The sequence below is a fragment of the Homo sapiens genome, chromosome 2 (genome assembly GCF_000001405.40).
Source record: "Homo sapiens chromosome 2, GRCh38.p14 Primary Assembly".
Taxonomy (NCBI): domain Eukaryota; kingdom Metazoa; phylum Chordata; class Mammalia; order Primates; family Hominidae; genus Homo; species Homo sapiens.
This window is the reverse complement of record NC_000002.12, coordinates 89,296,705-89,316,063: the sequence shown is the minus strand read 5'-3', so window position 1 is coordinate 89,316,063 and position 19,359 is coordinate 89,296,705. Positions and strand designations below refer to the sequence as shown.

The 19,359-nt window shown below is 41.5% G+C and overlaps 1 pseudogene, 1 gene segment (V, D, J or C) and 1 further gene, besides 2 other annotated features; 2 read left to right on the top strand and 1 right to left on the bottom strand.

Moving 5' to 3' along the window:
• IGK (immunoglobulin kappa locus) overlaps window positions 1-19,359 on the bottom strand; it is a 1,378,008-nt gene that overhangs the window by 919,305 nt on the left and 439,344 nt on the right.
• Window positions 5,922-6,161, top strand: IGKV2-38 (immunoglobulin kappa variable 2-38 (pseudogene); annotated as a pseudogene). Its single transcript is given in 1 exon segment — window positions 5,922-6,161. A coding segment is annotated over 1 exon segment (240 nt).
• Window positions 18,326-18,380: a sequence feature (IGKV1-37 leader sequence).
• Window positions 18,326-18,800, top strand: IGKV1-37 (immunoglobulin kappa variable 1-37 (non-functional)). The segment is given in 2 exon segments: window positions 18,326-18,380; window positions 18,505-18,800. Coding segments are annotated over 2 exon segments (351 nt in total), but the record flags the coding sequence as incomplete, so codon positions are not given.
• Window positions 18,505-18,515: a sequence feature (IGKV1-37 leader sequence).

Here is a 19,359-nt window from a genome sequence, read left to right as displayed (position 1 = left end):
AATGATGAACATGTGGCCATTTAGTTCTTATTATGGTTCAGGACAAACTTTGAACAAAGGGTCCTATGGTGTGGGCTGGGGACATACAACCTGATAATCAAGGAGAAATAGGTTTCCTTCTACATATTTTAGAGAGGAAGTAGAGAAAATGTGGAAGCTAGAAGAATTTCAAGATTGTTTTTATTTACTGACATTTCCTCTGGTAAAAGTTTCTCTTAACTTCAACAGACTTCAGAATGAAGCTTTGAGTAACACGCAGCTGAAGCATCACATGCACTTGGATGCTAGTGCAGCAGAGGGGAGATGAAACACACAGTGAGCTTAGGAGATGAGAACAGCAAAGGCAGCCTCTTGGTCAGCTTGAGTTGAGAAGCACAAGAAACAGTCCATTCATTCCTTCTACTTGTTCTATCATTGAATCAGGTGACTATGAGAGAAGCCACTGTGCCTGGTGAGGCAAAATTGTGTTTATTTTGATGCATTAGGTGACTTAAAACCAGATGGAAAAAGCAGAGGAGTGAGTGCAGGCAGCTCCCAGCACTGATTTCACTCCTCCCTGATCAAGATATCACTCATCCTTGTCTCCATGATCAAGAAAATTCCAAGGCCAGGCGCGGTGGCTCACGCCTGTAATCCCATCACTTTGGGAGGCCAAGGCAGGCAGATTGCCTGAGGTCAGGAGTTCGAGACCAGCCTGGCCAATATGGTGAAACCCCGTCTCTACTAAAAATACAAAAATTAGAAAAGCATGCTAGCACACGCCAGTAATCCCAGCTACTCCGGAGGCTGAGCCAGGAGAATCACTTGAACCAGGGAGGCAGAGGTTGCAGTGAGCCAAGATCATACCACTACATTCCAGCCTGGGTCACAGAGCAAGACTCCTTCTCAAAAAACAGAAAGAAAGAAAAAGAAAAGTCCTCCTATTGTGACAGGAAGATGGTGAGGCAGGAGGCTGTGCCCACAGGACGGTGCTGTCTGATCAAGTTTCTTGATCCTGTGTGAATTTGCTTAGGATAATGGCCTCCAGCTGCATTCACGTAGCTCTAAAGGACCATTATTTCATTTTTAATTGCTGTGTAGTATTTCATGGTGTATATGCACCACATGTTCTTAATCCAGCCTACCTTTGATAGTCATTTAGGTTGATTTCATGTCTTTTCTATTGTGAACAGTGCTGCCATGAACGTATGTGTGCACATGTCTGTATAGTAGAACGATTTATATTCCTTTGGGTATAGATGTAATAATGTGATTGCTGGGTCGAATGGTACTTCTGTTTTAAGTTCTTTGAGAAGTCGTTATACTGCTTTCCACAACTGCTGAACTAATTTACATTCCCACCAGCAGTGTATGAGCATTCCCTTTTCTCTGCAACCTCACCAGCATCTGTCATTTTTTGCCTTTATAGTAATAGCCATCCTGACTGGCATGAGATAGTATCTCATTGTGGTTTGATTTGCATTTCCATGATGATTAGTGATGATGACCATTTTTTTATGTTTGTTGGCTGCTTGTATGTTTTCTTTTGATTAACTTCTTTTAGGTTTCCTTCTACCTATTTTAGAGAGGAAGTAGAGAAAATGTGGAAGCTAGAAGAATTTCAGGATTGTTTTTATTTACTGACGTTTCCTCTGGTAAAAGTTTCTCTTAACTTCAACAGACTTCAGAATGAAGCTTTGCGTAACGCAGCTGAAGCATCACATGCACTTGGATGTTAGTGCAGCAGAGGGGAGATGAAACACACGGTGAGCTTAGGAGATGAGAACACCAAAGAGTTGAGAAGCACAGGAAACAATCCATTCATTCCTTCTACTTGTTCTATCATTGAATCAGTTGACTATGAGAGAAGCCATTGTGCCTGGTGAGGCAAAATTGTATTTATTTTGATGGATTAGGTGACTTAAAACCAGATGGAAAAAGCAGAGGAGTGACCTCAGGCAGCTCCCAGCACTCATTTCACTGCTCCCTGATACGTGTCTGTTTCATGGCCTTTGCCCATTTTATAATGGAGTTGTTTCTTGTTGTTGATTTTTTTAAAATTTTTTGTAGATTCTGGATCTTAGATCTTTGTCAGATACATAGCTTGTGAATATGTTCTCCCATTTTGTAGGCTGTCTGTTTACTCTGTTGTTAGTGTCTCTTGCTGTAATGAAGTTGTGTAGTTTAATTAGATAGCACTTATCAATTTTTGTTTTTATTGCAATTGCTTTTGGAGTCTATGTCATGAATTCTTTGCCTGAGCAAATGTCAAGAATGGCATTTCCTAGATTTTTATTAGAGTTTTTAGAGTTTAGATTTTATATTTAAGCCTTTAATCCATCTTGAGTTGGTTTTTCTATATAGTGAAAGGTTTCCATTTCAGTGCATATAGGTGCCAGTTATCCCAGCAGCATTTATTGAATAAGGGGGTCCTTTCTTCATTGCTTGTTTTAGTCAGCTTTGTCGAAGATCAGATGGTTGTAGGTGTGCGGTTTTACTTCTGAATCCTCTAGCCTGTTCCATTGGTCTAGGGTTCCTGTTTTTGTAGCAGTACTCTTCTGATTTAGTTACTGTAGCCTTGTAGTATATCTTGAAGTCGTGTAGTGTGATACCTCCAGCTTTGCTCTTTTTGCTTAGGATTTTTTTTTTTTTTTAGCTCTAGTTTAGTTCCAAGTAAATTTTAGAATTTTTTTTCTAATTCTGTGAAAAATGTTATTGGTAGTTTCACAGGAATAGCATTGAATCTATAAATAGCATTAGGCAGTATGACCAGCTCAAAAGTATTGATTCTATCCACGCAGGTGGAATGTTTTTCCGTTTGTTTGTGTCATTTCTGATTTCTTTCAGCAGTATTTTGTCGTTCATGTTGTAGAGATCTTTCACCTCCTTGGTAAGCTGTATTTCTAGGTATTTTATCCTTTTTATGCTTACTGTGAAGGGGATTGGGCTCTGGGACTGGCTCTTGGTGTGAATGGTATTGGTATATAGAAATGCTACTGATTTGCGTAAATTGATTTTGTTTCCTGAAATATTGCTGAAATTATTTATGAGATCTAGAAGCTTTTGGGCAGAGAGTGTGGGGTTTTCTGAATATATTATAGTATCGCCTTCAAAGAGAGATAGTTTGACTTATTCTCTTCCTATTTGGATGCCTTTTATTTTTCTCTCTTGCCTGATTGCTCTGGCTAGAAATTCCAGTACTATGTTGAATAGGAGTGGTGAGAGTGGGTATCCTTGTCTTGTTCTGGTTCTCAACGAAAATGCCTCCAGCATTTGTCGATTCTGTGGGATGCTGGCTGTAATTTTGCCATAAATGGCTGTTAATATTTTAAGTTGTGTAGTTTCATTGTCTAGATTTTGAGGGTGTTTAGCATGAAGGGGCATTGAATTCTATCAAAAGGCTTTTCTGCATCTAATGAGATGATCCTGTAGTTTTTGTATTTAGTTCTGTTTATGAGGTGAATCTCATGTATTGATTTTTACATTTTGAACCAACCATGCATCCCGTGACTAAAGCCAGCTTAATTATGGTGGATTAGCTTTTGATGTGCTACACAATAATGTTTGCTAGTATTTTTTTCAGAAAGTTTGTGTTTATGTTCATGAGAGATAGCGATCTGAAGTTTTTATTTATTGTGCCTCTGTCAGTTTTTACTATCAGGGAGATGCTGGTTTCATAGAATGAGTTAGAGAGGAGATCTCCCACCTTGATTTTTTTGGAATAATTTCACTAGGATTGGTACTAGCTTTTTTTATATGTCTGGTAGTATTTGGTTGTAAATCCATTTTTTCCAGGACTTTTTCTGATAGGTGGGCTTTTTACTACTGATTCAATTTCAGAACTCATTATTGGTCTGTTTAGGCATTCAGCTTCTTCCTGCGAGATTCTTGGTAGATTGTTTCCAGCAATTTATGCACTTTTTTCTAGGTTTTCTAGTTTTTGTGCATAGAGGTGTTGGTTATAGGTTCCAAGGGTTTTTCGTTTGTTTGTTTGTTTTATTGCTGAGGGTTGAGTGATAATATCCTGTTTGTCACTTCTGGTTGTTTTTCTTTGGATATTGCTTTTTTCTTTATTAGTCTAGCTTGCAGTCTATCAATCTTATTTCTTCTTTCAAAGACCTAACTTTTGATTTCACTGACCTTTTGTTTGGTTTTTCTCCTCTCTATTTCATTCAGGTCAGGTTTGATTTTGATTATTCTTCTACCTTTGGGGTTGGTTCACATTTGTTTTTCAGATTTCTCTAGGTATGACGTTAGGTTGTTAATTCAGGATTTTTCTAACTTTTTGATGTGCACATTTAGCGCTATAAACTTTCCTCAGAACACTGCTTTTGCTGTGTCCCAGAGATTGTGGTATGTTGTCTCTTTTTTTTCATTAGTTTCAAAGAATTTCTTAATTCTTATCTTAATTTCATTGTTTACCCAAAAGTCTGTAAGCAGCAGATTGTTAAATTTCTACTTAATTTTATGGTTTTTGAAAGATCTTTTTGGTGTTGATTTTTACTTTTTTTGCACTTCAGCCTGAGAGTGTGGTTGGTATGATTCCATTTCATTTTATCATTTTTATTTTTTGTATTTGTTGACACTTGCAGTATGGCTGAGAGTGTAGTCAATTTTAGAGTTTTTGCCACGTGTAGATGGGAAGAATGTATATTCTGTAATTTTTAGTGGTTGCTCTGTAGATGTCAGTTTGTTCCATTTTGTCAAGTGTCATGTTTAGGTTCTGAATATGTTTGTTACTATTCTGCCTAAATCATCTGTCGAATACTGTCAGTGTGGGTTGAAGTCTCACTCTATGATTGTGTGGTTATCTAGGTGTTTTTGTAAGTCTCTAAGAACTTACTTCACAAATCAGGGTGCTCCACTGCTGTGTGCTTATATAATATATTTAGGATAGTGAAGTCTTCTTGTTAAATTTAACTCTTCATTATTATGTAATGCTCTTCTCTGTCCTTTCTGATTATCGTTAGTTTTGTTTTGTTTTGTTTTGTTTTGTTTTTTGAGACAGAGTCTCTCTCTGTCTCCCAGGTTGCAGTGCAGTGGCGCGATCTCGGCTCACTGCAAGCTCCGCCCCCTGGGTTCACGCTATTCTCCTGCCTCAGCCTCCCAAGTAGCTGGGACTACAGGCGCCTGCCACCACGCTCGGCTATTTTTTTTGTATTTTTAATAGAGACAAGGTTTCATCGTGTTAGCCAGAATGGTCTCGATTTCCTGACCTCGTGATCTACCCGCTTTGGCCTCCCAAAGTCCTGGGATTACAGGTGTGAGCCACCGCGCCCAGCCATGATCATTGTTAGTTTTAAGTCTGTTGTATCTGAAATAAGAATAGCAACCCCTGCTCTTTTTTGCTTTCCATTTGTTTGATAGATCTTTCTTTCTCCCTTTACTTTGAGCCTATGTGTAATCATTAGAAACCACCTGAAAGAACAATGACCAGTGCCTTGAATAATATCTTTTAATAAAGGGTCGCTTGTACCTAGTAAATACTAAGCTTATTTATTTATTTATTTATTTATTTATTTATTTATTTATTTTGTTGCCCAGTTTCGCTCTTGTTGCCCAGGATGGAGCGCAATGGTGCGATCTCGGCTCACCAAAACCTCCGCCTCCCGGATTCAAGTGATTCTCCTGCCTCAGCCTCCCAAGTAGCTGGGATTACAGGCATAAGCCCCCAACCCCCAGGTGATTTTATGTATTTTTAGTAGAGATGGGGTTTTTCCATGTTGGTCAGGCTGAACTCCCGACCTCGGGTGATCCGCCTGCCGCGGACCAAGAAGTGCTGGGATTACAGGCGTGAGCCACCACAACCGGCCTAAGCTCATTTTTAAAAACGTATTTTTTATGATGTGAATAAAAAATCTTTTAAAAGATAAATGATAAATCCATATCATAAGGGAAATCGTGATACTTGCTCATAATATTTGTACATAACTTTGTACTTCATCTCCTGCAGGTCTAGTCAGACCCTCCTGCATAGCAATGGAAACACCTATTTGTATTGGTAACTATAGAAGCCAGGCGAGTCTCCACAGCTCCTGATCTATGGGGTTTCCAATGGGGCCTCTGGAGTCCCAGACAGGTTCAATAGCAGTGGGTCAGGCACATATTTTAAACTCAAAATTAGCAGGGTGGAGGCTGAGGATATTCGACTTTATTAATACATGCAAGCTACATAATATCCTTGCACAGTGGTAACGCCTTGAACACAAACCTCCTTGCTGGGGTGTCCCAACTGCCCACATGAGCTGCTGTCTGGGAGCAGCTCTGCAGGGTCTCTGAGTCTGCGGAAGAGGAGGCTGTTGGGGAACTCAGGGAAAGGGTTTGCTGCTGAAGACTCTGGCTCATGAGAGCCTCAGCTGTGCCTCAGTCACATATGTTAAGGTCCCATCAGCTGCCATGGCCTGGGGAAGACATCATCAGGAGGAGAATTCTTGGGGGCCATGAGCCCTGGGAACAACCAGCTATGATGAAGGGAGAGTGAATGAAAGCTCATCCCTCCCTATCTTGCCTACATTTTTCAAGGACATTTACTTGTCAAAACAACCAGACCGTGGATGCAGATTAGTGACAACACAAGTGGAATACGTGTTGGAAATGACCAGCTTGGGGTTTATTTTATACAAGATGATACTTGGTCCTATTGAGAAATCATTTTTTTCATTTCATTCTCCCAACCTTGTATCTTTTTTAGCACTCGTACACTAAACTGCCCTCTCCAGTGTCATGCTGGAGAAGGTATTCTACACAAGCTGTCCTCAGGGGAGTGTGGCAAAAAATAATTATTAAAAATGTTTAGGTTTGACTATTCATAGACTTGGTAAACACATGGCAAATAAAAGATCTCAATGCCAAAATACTTCAATTCTCCTCAATTACCTTCATCCCAGTGAAAGTTCTTCCAGTTACAAAAGTGAGCTTTGAAAATAAACAGAATGAACTCACAGATGGACAACATAGACTCACTAAATATGTCACATGAATAATGCAGAATTACATAATATTTTTTCTTCTTACCCCAGTTTTAAGAATTTAAAAAGCATTTAACCTAAGTACTGTTTTAGAGGTGACAAATTTAGTGGTGTGTCCCCATGAGAAAATATTTCAAACAATACCAAAATTCCTTGTTTACATATTACATCATCGTTCCTAGAAAATATATCTAAATCCTCTATTTTAGGTATAAAAGCAAAAAAAAGTAAGGTTTCAGTTGATTTCACTTAAAATGGTATTTTAAATTTCCATCAAACTTAATGATGAGTCATGTCAGTTACATGACAGAACATGGTGTGATAGAGACAAAAGAATGATTGAAGGAACAGAACAAGAAGCTTCTGCTTCAGCCTTAGGATTTGAAGTATATTGGAGATTATTTTCCATTCTGTGATAATGGATTCAATGGCCACTGCAACTAAAATTCCAAAGTGCCATTTCTATTAGGTTTCATAGATATAGGGCAAAATTTATGTAGAAATCAAGCAGACTGGAGCCCTCAAATTAAAAAACATTAGACACTTTTAAATATGCTATTTAAAAATCCTAATAAATACATCGTGGAGTGTAAATGATTTTACAGAATGCTATTTCAGAGAAACAAAGCGTAAGTAGCAAGAGCAGGAGCTGAGAAATGCCATCATCGTCTTTAGTACTCACGTGATTGACAGCACCTAGTCGCTGTAGATTCTGCTTTGATGTGAGACAGGGATAAGGTCTAAACTCACTCAAGATGTTTAGATGTATTTAACAAGGAAACAAACATACAGCCTACATGATTTTGATATCCCAAGGGCTATACTCTCAAATCAAAATGCTAAAAAAATGATATCAAAGACAGAAAGGGGATAAGGTCTAAACTCACTCAAGATGTTTAGATGTATTTAACAAGGAAACAAACATACAGCCTACATGATTTTGATATCCCAAGGGCTATACTCTCAAATCAAAATGCTAAAAAAATGATATCAAAGACAGAAAGGGGATTCAAGAAGAACCAGAGGATAATCAAATTTATTACAAAGAAGCCTCAAAAGCTCAGAGCACAGCCTACCTCCTTCCTCACAGTCTCTGCCCCCATTCCCATTCCTCAGCAGCATGGGGTGGAGCGGAGAGGAGAGAAAGCTGTTACCCCTAGAGAGCCTCTCTTTTCTTCTAAAGACCTAAGAAAATTCCAGCTTTCCACCAGGGATAAATGTTCTTTTGCCTCAAGGACTCATTTGTGCAATTTTTTACTGTGTGAATCTCCTGATAAACTTGCATTTTTGTTCGTTTTAATTTGAAAATATATTTACACAATATTTGGAAATAATTTTTGAATATATAATCATATTGTGGCAGCCTATAGAAGTTGTCATTTACTGTTGGTAATTGTTGCTAAAAAGTCATCTGCAAATGAAAGACTTTCATCTGTGACTAACACACCTCCTCTGAAAGGAATCTGGCTTTTTCGTCTCTTCAGGCTCTTTTTAAGCTCTTCAATTGGCCTTTGGCTTTTTCAACATGTAATTTATTCAGTTTAATTTATTATTTATGCAAAATTAATGAATTAGTTTTCCCTATTACAAAATAAAAAATCGTGTGTATTGCTATGTCAAACACCTGCCCCTAGATGGCAAACAAATTCCACAGTATAAAAAGAGAATGCCATGAACTAAGAAATACTGGGAATGTAAGGATGATGGTGTCTCACTGTCAACAGGGAGCCCTTTGGCTGGAACAGGGTCTCATGTGTGACCTGGAGCACCTGGGAGGAGCTGCCAGGGTGCTAAATGGTGGGGAAAATCTGCTCTGTGCTCTGTGCGCTGAGACTGGAAGCTGGGCCCTGACCCCCAGTGTAGCTGCGAGAGATGATCGAGGTAGATGGGGTTAAAGGAGGTCCTAAGCATGAGATCCCTTGCAATAGAATTAGTGCTCTTATCCGAATAGCAACCAGAGCTCTCCTCTTCCTTTCCTCCCTGTCTCTCCCTCTCTCTTCCCAACCCCCATCCCTTTTTCTCCATGGCTGTCTATGAACCAGGAAGAAAGTTCTTAACAGAATGTGTACCTGGTTGGACCTTGATCTTAGACTTCCAGCCACCAGAAATGTGAATATAAATTTCTATTGCTTAAGCCATCCAGGCTTTGGGATTTTGGCGTGGCAGTGCCAGCAGATTCACCCACCGTCCCAACCCTCTCTGAGCAGGATCAGCCTCAGGAGGCCCTCGTGGACATGGAGACACAGCTTTCCTCCTCTTCTGCTGCTGTCAGACTCTGGTGAGGAGGGAGGACTCAGGCTTCATCCTCAGTTTGGTTGCACTAAATACAAATGTTTCCTTCACCATCAGGTAACTAGCCTTTTTGCTTTCTGATTAGAATTACATCAAACTGCAGGAACAACTATGCCTATTTATACAAATGTACATATCACATTGTGAACCCAGAACATTTGAGACAGGTATAAGGTAATTTAGAAAGTTTATTTTGCCAAAGTTTAGGACACGTTCCTGTGACACAGCCTCAAGAGGTCCTGCAGGCATGTGGCCAAGGTGGTCAGAGCGTAGCTTGGTTTTAAACATTTCAGTGAGACATGAGACATCAATCAACATATATAAAATGAACATTGGTTTGGTCTGGAAAGGCAGGACAACTCCAAGCGAAAAGCAGGGCAACTGGAAGCAGGGAGGGGCTTTCAAGTCCCAGGTAGGTGAGAGAAAAACTTGCCTTCCTTTAAGTTTCTGATTAGCCTTTCCAGAACAGGTAATTAGATATGCATTTATCTCAGGGACCAGAGGGCTGACTTTGAAAACAATGGGAGGCAGATTTGCCCTATTCAGTTCCCAGCTAGAATTTTCCCTTTAGCTTAGTGATTTGGGGAGCCCAAGATATTTTCCTTTCACAATATTTATTCGTAATATAGATGCATAGTAGATACAAAGATATCACTGCAATTTACATCTATAATATTATACATATTTAATATACAAAGTTTGTTACAAACGCATATATACATATACACATAATTTTATGTTTATTTAGCACGTGCTCCTTTTTTTTTCTAACTATAACAGAATCAGGCTCAGTCAGGACTCTGCGGACATTTGCTGACCTCTTTGGCTCCAGCACAGTCCTGGTCATTGAGAGCCAGTGAGAACAGAGCTGAGAGCAGCCCACCCCAGGAGCTTGGGCCCAGCCCCAAGGCCCTTGTCTCTGAGACTTTCCTCCTGGTGGCAGGCTCTGGGCTTGAAGCAGTGCCCATGAGTGTGTGAGCAATTTCCTTCCCTGAAGCCCCTGTGAGGCAGACCTGTGGGCAGCGCCTTTGGTTCCCAGGTCCTCAGCCCCTTGTCTCAGTAGAGCAGCTGCTTCCTCCACAGCCCAGGGCCAGAGCCCAGCAGCTTTCAGACAGTGCAAGTCTGACCTTAGCCCTGATTTAAGGATCTTATTATAAATGTCTCTACAAGTATTCTGGTAACTGAAAGTATGTCCTTGACTTACATAAATGCATAGGCTACATTTCCACAATTGCTGAAACTAACAAGGTCATGTGAGAAATTTAAAATTTGACTTCGTTTTCATCCTCAGGGCCCGGCTTCTTCGAATGTTGCAGTATGAAGATGCGCCTAGCTTTTCTCCTCCTCATACAACTTTCCTTAAAAGCACAGTGGAATTTAAAATTTTGTCACCTACAGAGCAGCCACCCTCTCCTCTTTCAGTGTATAGGGCACTGTCTCTGTCCTGCTGTGCATGACAACGACACTGAGCCGCTCCCAGCCCAGGAAAGGAGCAAGGTTTAGGTGGACATGTGATCAGCTCCACAATGAGATGTCATGGGTGTGAAGGAGGGGCAGGACTTCTGGAGAAAATGGTGATCTCTCATAAAAAGAGGGGTGATGAAGAGCTTTGCCCTTCATTTCCTCTTTGGGCAGTTACCAGAGGACATGAAGCTTACAGTCTCTGCAGCCTTCTTGAGACCATGAGATGTTGAGCCCAAGACAGAAAAACCAATGTGGTCAAGTTTACCAAGCAGTAATGTAGAAAGAATCTGGGGCCTTTCTCCTGTCACCAAGCTGCTGTATTAACCCTGAATGTGCCAAACTTCAGATCTCTTCTCATTGCTTAAGCCATTGTTATTCTTTCACTTGTTTCTAAAATTATTGTCGCTTATCCTTAAATGATACTGAAGAAAAAGAGCCTCGTTGGCCATAGACCTGCCCCTTAGGAGAAGAAATGCATTATCATGCGTGTGTATGTGTGTGTTTGTGGGTGTCAAAGGCAGTAAAAGCAAGAACCAGAATAAGTGATGTCCTTTCCTGACATCTTGGCTCTGCTGTATTTATAGCTAAGGAAACCCAAACCACTGCAAAGAGTTCATAATTTCTGCTCTCTTCCTGTCTCAGTTTCATGTTTTATATCTTAAGGATGAACATCTTTTTGTTGTCCCTAATTCCTCCCTCCTTTATGATCATGAAATTAAAATAGTGGTCAAGAAAGAGACAAGAACACTTGAAGAAGACATAAAATCTGTGGACTGTACACATCTCCTCAACAGCAACATCATGCTAGCAGTTTTCTCCTTCTTCTCAGTGGTTTTTGATGGGAAGATGCTAACTCCTCCAACCAGGTATCTATCAGAGGTTGCGTTTGGAGGGCTTACAAAGAAAAGCTTCCAGGCAGTTAGTGCTGGATTCTGGGGAGTGTAGCAGGAGGGTGAGTCTGGATTCCCAGCATGGGGAGGCCAGAGTGAATTCTGAGAAAGGCTGTGCATGTGGGAAGAAAAGAATTAGAACTCAGAACTGTGGTCACAACCTTAGGAGCCAAAGAATGAGACACTAACACAAATGCAGCTCAGAGACAACTCAGACTAAAAGTGTTATGATCAATTGTCATCTTGTTTGTCTTTCTAATACCACACATAAAGAGTAGGTAGAATTGTTTACAGTGGAAGCTATGCACATGAAACCCCACTGCCCTTAGTGATGCACTTGCTTGTTGTAGAATAAATATTGAAGAATTTGAATTGAAAGTGATGTCTGGCTAGTAATATCTTACATAGCCTTTTTATTCCAGCATGGTCAAGGGTACATAAAAAGAGGACTGGATATATATATATTAGAAAGATAAACAGGATGACAATTGATCATATATATATATATATATATATATATATATTTACACACACACACACACATACTTCAAGGCCCATCATCTGATTAAGTCCTCAGGAGACCCCTTGATATACACAGTGTTCCATTTCACAGATGAAGAAACCAATGATCAGAGCTCATGGATGGTTTATGCAAAATCACATGATCAGCACATGTGGGCTGGAATTTGAACCCAAGTCTGTGTGGCTTTATTATATTTCTTTCATGCAGCCACTTTCATCCCATAGTTGAGCCCACAGTCTATAATAAGGGAGAAGACACCGTAGGGACAGTGTGGACTCCACAGCTTCCTGCTCTCTCTGTCTTACACCATGCTGACCTTAATCGTAAACTAGCCCCATCTGCAGTTTTCCCTAGAAAACACAACTCTGTCAATGTCTTTGTGAGTTGCAAATGACTTTATTTTGGACTTGTGAGGAAGGACACATCTTTCTTTTCTCTGGCCCCTTCTACATCTCCTCTTTCTCTTCGAATTTCCCTGGCTCAGTCTGTCCCTCTCAGAATGTGTTCTGCAAGTCTAATTTGCCCTCCTAATATAAAAACAAACCAAAAAACAATCTCCCCTCCTCTCACGTGCTATGACAGCTGATCTCTAGGCTCTCAGATACCCAGATTGTTCCAGAGCCAATCAAGGGATCTGACCCAAGACATTTTCTGCCTTAGAGGAATTCTGGTGCTACCTCCTCTCAAAATAATATGTTCTCTGTCTTTTCAAAATTGACGGGAAATTATTACAAGGTGAAGATATTTGGGAGAACAAGAACAGCCATGCACTGAGGAGATAAAAGCCATCTCTTCCTCTTGCATTAATATCCTATTGCTGTTGGAACAAATTAGTATGACCTCACTGGCTTCATACAACACAAATGTATTATCTTACAGTTCTGAAAGTCAGAAGTCTCACTGAACTAAAATCAAAGAGTGAGCAGGGCTGTATTATTTCTGGAGGCTCCAAGGAAGAGAATTGGATACTAAGTTTTCATCTTCAAGATCTCTCAGATTCCTTGCTTCTTGGCCCCATTCTGCCACAACAGCATTCCCCTCCATTGTCCGGGCTCCTCTCTGATTGTGACCCTCCTGTATTTTCTATTATAAGGACCTTGTGATTACACTGGTTTGAGACAGGCAATCTAGGATACTCTCCTCATGTCAAATTTCTTAACTGAATCACATCTGCCGAGTTCCTCTTGACATATAAGGTAACATTCATAGATTCCAAATATTAGGACATAAATATAATTAGGGTGGGGGGTCCTTATTTATCCCCAAAACAACTCCCATTATTCCCACAACTGCCCACCCCTAAAGTCAAATGAAAATTCACAAGGCTGTTTTATGAAGCAAGGAAGCAGGAAATAATTTGTGATTTGGAGACTCTCTGACCTGTGGGTTTTAAGAGTAGGGGTTAGTTATTCCACTGCCTCTAATGTGGACCTCATGGTGTGCTGCTATTTTTTTTTTTTTACTGAGACAAAGTCTCTCTCTCTGTTTCCCAGGCTGGAGTGCAGTGGTGCGATCTTGGCTCACTGAAACCTCCGCCTCCCGGGTCCAAGCAATTCTCGTGCCTCAGCCTCCCGAGTAGCTAGGATTACAGGTGCCTGCCACCATTCCCCGCTAATCTTTGTTTTTTAGTAGAGACGGGGTTTCACCATGTTTGCCTGGCTGGTCTCAAACTCCCGACCTCAGGTGATCCACCCACCTCGGCCTCACAAAGTGCTGGGATTACAGGCGTGAGCTACCTCACTCGGCCTGTGTGCTGCTATTTTAAGAAGCTTCTTTTATTTTGTGAGTCAGAAGAAAGGGATTACTGCATAAATCAAATTTAAGATAGATGGGCAAAAAGCAATTTAGTGTTTTCTGATTTTTGTATGCATCAAAAAAGGAGAAATAATAAGAATTAAGACAAGAGGCCAGGTGCAGTGGGTCACGCCTGTGATCCTAGCACTTTGGGAAGCTGAGACAGGCAGTTCACCTAAGGTCAGGGGTTCGAGACCAGCCTGGCCAACATGGTGAAACCCCATCACTACTAAAAATACAAAAATTAGCCGGGCGTGATAGCAGGCACCTGTGATCCCAGCTACTTGGGAGGCTGAGGCAGGAGAACCACTTGAACCTGGGAGCCAAAGGTTGCAATGAGCCAAGATTGTGCCATTGCACTCCAGCCTGGGCAACAAAACAAGACTCAGTCTCAAAAAAAAAGGAGAGACAAGAGATGTAGCCCTCCCAAGAACTGGGATTTGTCCACTGTGTTGGGTTGTGTCCACCTACAAGAAGTATTTCTATGCATGCAGCATATTTACAATGGGAGGGAAGGAGGAAAGTGAGGCAGAGAACAGAGGTTGAAGGTTAAAGTCACCTCAACAAGCCACCTAACTCTTAGGATAACTGAAGCTCAACCCCATTTGGAAACACGGGGAAAATGTCCCTGGGCTATTCTAGCTGAGAGGGGAGGGAGCTGGGGTATGTATACATGTCCTTCTGTCATCACCAATTGAGGGCTGTCTGTCTAAGTCTGTTTTGTGCTGCTATAACAGAATACCTGAGACTGGGTAATCAGTAAAGAACATTCTGTCACATTTCTGGAGGATGGGAAGTCAAAGATTGAGTAACTAGCAGCTTGGGATCCAATTTCTGTGCTTTCAAGATGGAATTTGAATGCTGAGTCCTTCAGAGAGAAGGAAGGCCATGCCCTGGCCTGACAATAGCAGAAGTGAGAGACTGGGAGCTCGCTCTCATAATTGAGATAGTTCAGGGATCTGACCCCTTCTTAGGGGTCTTTGAAGCTTCCCCAGACATGGAAATAAAGGAAAATCTTGGGTCTTTTCAAGGGAAATGTTAGGTGTCCAGCTAAGCCTTGAGAAGTAAACAAGCAACATGAGAAGCAAGGAGACGATAATAGACTAAAACAATAGTCAAAGAAGCTAAAAATCACAGTATGTTTTATTCCTCTACAGAAACTAAAGAGAACATCTCAGCATATGTCTCTGAGTTGTTTTTCAGAAACCCAGATCTCCAACAAATGGATCTGCCAGCACATAGACTTCACATAAGGGGAAACAGGGGACTGAAATTTGACCATGGTTCTTTGTTCTGAATTTCCACCTGAGGGGCCTGGAGAAAGTCACACCCACAGGCCAGAGCCAACATTCCTTTGTGCTGACCCCAATTTTTAAACAAAGCTTTTCTTCCTTAATCAATTGCACATCAGAAAATTTTTCAATCTACTCATGACCTGTAAGATATTCTGCTGCTTCATGATATCCTGCCCTCTTAGGCCAAAGCCAATGTGTAACCTCCATGTATTGATTTACAATTTTGCCTGTAACTTTTGATTCCCTGAAACTTACCTGGGCTTTTAAAAGCCATTATTTGTAAGCCATTAGAGAGATCAAGATTTAAGCATTAGCTGTCTGGTCCTCTTTGCTTGACGTCCTGCAAATAAATGACTTTTTTCTCCTACTGCAAACTCAGTTTGGATAACTGGTTTTACTGCACTGAGCAAGCTGAATCCAGTTTGGTTCCATAATAAAAGCCCTTTTTATAGTAGCATTAATCTATTCATAAGGGCAGAACCTTCAGTATTTAAACACTTCTCATTAGGCCCCACCTCTCAATTCTGTTGCATTATGGATTAAATTAACAGTGGATGAAATTGAGGGGATACAGTGAAACCATAGCACTGTCTGAGGAAAGACTCATTCCAAGCCCTGTGGTCTGCCATGCGTGTAGGCGGAGCTGCCTTTCTCAGAGAGGGCAGAGATGGCCATGGGGAATCAGCAGAAGTACGGTGAAAGGGAAAGTCCTCAGTGCAGACAGGGACTGCTCCAACCGTTTAGAAAAAAGCACCTGTACTTTCCACCTGGAGCTGCAACCTTCTGGAATGGTGTTTCCTGGCAGGTCAGTTGCAAATGAAGGAATCTGGGAAGTAACATCTCAAGATATGCTACATTGGTATTGTGATTGCTTCAAACTGAAGGTGTTTAGAAAACAACAAATATATAAAGGGGCTTTTCCTAAATCTCCCTTACCTGTCTAAGGGCAGTTTCTCCAGAAGGAAGCCAATTGTCATGAAAACCCTCCCTGGGAATGTTTATCTACCAGGGAATATTAACATGCACTAGAAGTTAAATCCAGAAAAGATTGGATGTTGACTTTATCCAGACAGGCTACTACCTATCCTTTTCAGGACCCTTTTCTTTTATTTTAGGTTATTTACTCTCCCTTAGTTGCCTATACTCTCTACTTCCCTCTCCCCTATAAAGGATGTAGAAGCACCTGGACCTCACTGGGTTATTTGGGTAATCCCTCTCGTGTGTTATCCCCACACCCCCACCCCGCATGTTAAATACATTTGTCTGCCTTTTTTTCCTATTAATTTGTCTTTTGTTTATTCATTTTCAGCAAACCTTTAGAAGGTTTGCTTTTCTCTTTCCCCTTTTCCCTCTACAAAAGCAAGTTCCCTTAACATTCAGGTCCCTGAATAGACAGAAGGAGGGTGTGTGCAGAGCTTACACCACAGTGATTTGACCACTCCTAGTCAGGCATGAGTAATACTTTCCAGAACCCAGGCTACAGCCCACAGACACTGATGTAGTTGAATGCTGCTGCTGAAGCAGGCTGAGATGTCTTGGGCCCTGTTAGAGATGTGAGATATGATTGGGTGCAAATCCATTACCAGTTTTATTAGGATCCAATTAATTTCTCCATATGTATGGAAATTTGCTTGATAAGAGGTGGAGACTCTGTTCTGGATGTGAGACAGGAGGCTGGTATGTGGATCAGAATGATGTTCCCACTCACTGCTAAAAAGTAAAAGAGGAAAGTGGCATTCATAGTGCAAGGCAGGGACATGCACTGAGCAGCAGCTGCCCTCACTGGTAGGGAGGACTTACTGTCCTGATCTTTTCCAAAGTCTCTCCATCACCTGCTCTCCAGAAATCCAGGATTCAGAGGAGCTGTACCTGAGCACCCAGGAACATGCTGGTGGGGAGTTCAGCATTACTCAGGGGATGCAATCTTGGTCTTCCTACTTGTGGAGACAACTGAACCCTGGATAATTTCAAGTTTATCCTAATCCAGACTCTGATAAATGCAGGAAGAAACTAGTTATTTAAGTCAATCAGATCTGGCATCACTAGTCAGCTCTTCATGCTGAGAACCCCGGGGAAATAATACTCAATGGCAGAAGAGAGGGTAAAATATAGAGATCACCAAACCAAAAATAAGATGCAGCTTATATAATCTCTGGGTATTGAGGTGGCTTACAGGTTTAAATAATGGTGAATCTGTGAGTGATACCGGCCTTGAGGACTTGTGGTTTCATTTTTATGCATCTGTAGTGAATTGCGTGACCATACAGTCATGTAAGAATGGCTTAAGGTCATTACAAAATACTTTCAAATATATTTAGCATTATCTTGTAAAATTGTCTCTTTTTTTTAAGAAGGAACCATTTCACTCTCACAGAAATGTTATAAGTATAGAACAAAGTACCCTCTCCTTTGCAGAGTATATTCAAGACTTGATGTTCCCACCCTCTAAAACTTTACTGAGTTTCCTACAAATAAAAATATTCCCCTGGCTGGACGTGGTGGCTCATGCCTGTAATCCCAGCACTTTGGGAGGCTGAGGCGAGGGGGTCACCTGAGGTTAGGAGTTTGAGACCAGCTTGGCCAACATGGTGAAACCCCATTTCTACTACTAAAAATACAAAATTAGCCTGGCATGGTGGTGCGTACCTGTAGTCCCACCTACCCTGGAGGCTGAGGCAGGAGAAATCGATGGTACCTGGCAGGTGGAGGTTGCAGTGAGGTGAGATCGTGCCACTGCACTCCAGCCTAGGTGACAGAACGAGACTCTGTCTCAAAAAAAAAAAACCTTAATTAATCCCCATATACAAATAGAAAACATTACTTCATCGAGTACTCAAGAGTATTTCAAATATTAACAATTATTAAAAAAAAAAGTTCTTTGTTACAAAACGGCCCCAAGAGGAAACATGTTCTTACAGACAAATCTGTGCTACCCTCCTCTGACTTGGGACACTGGGGACACGAGGGACTGGCTCAGAGATGAGCCAGCCCCGCAGCTGTGCCCAGCCTGCCCCAACCCCTGCTGATTTGCATGTTCCCAGAGCACAGCCCCCTGCCCTGAAGTCTTCTTAACAGGCTGGTCACACCCCGTGCAGCAGTCAGTCCCAGTCAGGACACAGCATGGACATGAGGGTCCCCGCTCAGCTCCTGGGGCTCCTACTGCTCTGGGTCCCAGGTAAGGAAGGAGAACACTAGGAATTTACTCAGCTGGTGCGCTCAGTATAGCCTGGCTCTTCAGGGAGGTCTTCTTATAACATGATGGATTGAATGGATGTTTGTTTTTATATTTCCAATCTCAGGTGCCAGATGTGACATCCAGTTGACCCAGTCTCCATCCTCCCTGTCTGCATCTGTAGGAGACAGAGTCACCATCACTTGCCGGGTGAGTCAGGGCATTAGCAGTTATTTAAATTGGTATCGGCAGAAACCAGGGAAAGTTCCTAAGCTCCTGATCTATAGTGCATCCAATTTGCAATCTGGAGTCCCATCTCGGTTCAGTGGCAGTGGATCTGGGACAGATTTCACTCTCACTATCAGCAGCCTGCAGCCTGAAGATGTTGCAACTTATTACGGTCAACGGACTTACAATGCCCCTCCCACAGTGTTACAAGGCATAACATAAACCCCCCAAGGAAGCAGATGTATGGGGCTGGCCTGCCCCAGATACTCCTCCTACTGCCTCCAGCTGCTCAGAGGGTTTCTCATATTCCAGTCAAGCTTTGAAAGTCACTGAAAAGTTTTGATGGAAGGGGCCATGAAGACTCTGAAACTGCCTTTGCAAAAATCATAACTGAGAAAATTATGACGGTGGAAGATATTACACAGCCAGCTCTGTGTGAATTACTCTTTCACTACTGCTATTGCCGTGTCTTGATAAATCGACTCTGTCTAAGCAGCAGGCAAGGTGAACCCCTTGGGCGATTACAACTCCTCTATACCTTAACTGTTTTTCCTTCTCATCCCCTGCAGCACAAACATGGCAATACTGTTCCTGATTTCATTAAGAAAAGAGATGATTACACCTGAGTCTTGGCTATGGTGTGAGTTGGAATCAATACCACAAAGGAAAACCTACTCTTGGAATTCCAAGTCTATTTTTTTTTTTCTAAATACACGCAATGAGAGTCTAAACTACAGCCTCTGGGAGGCTTGGG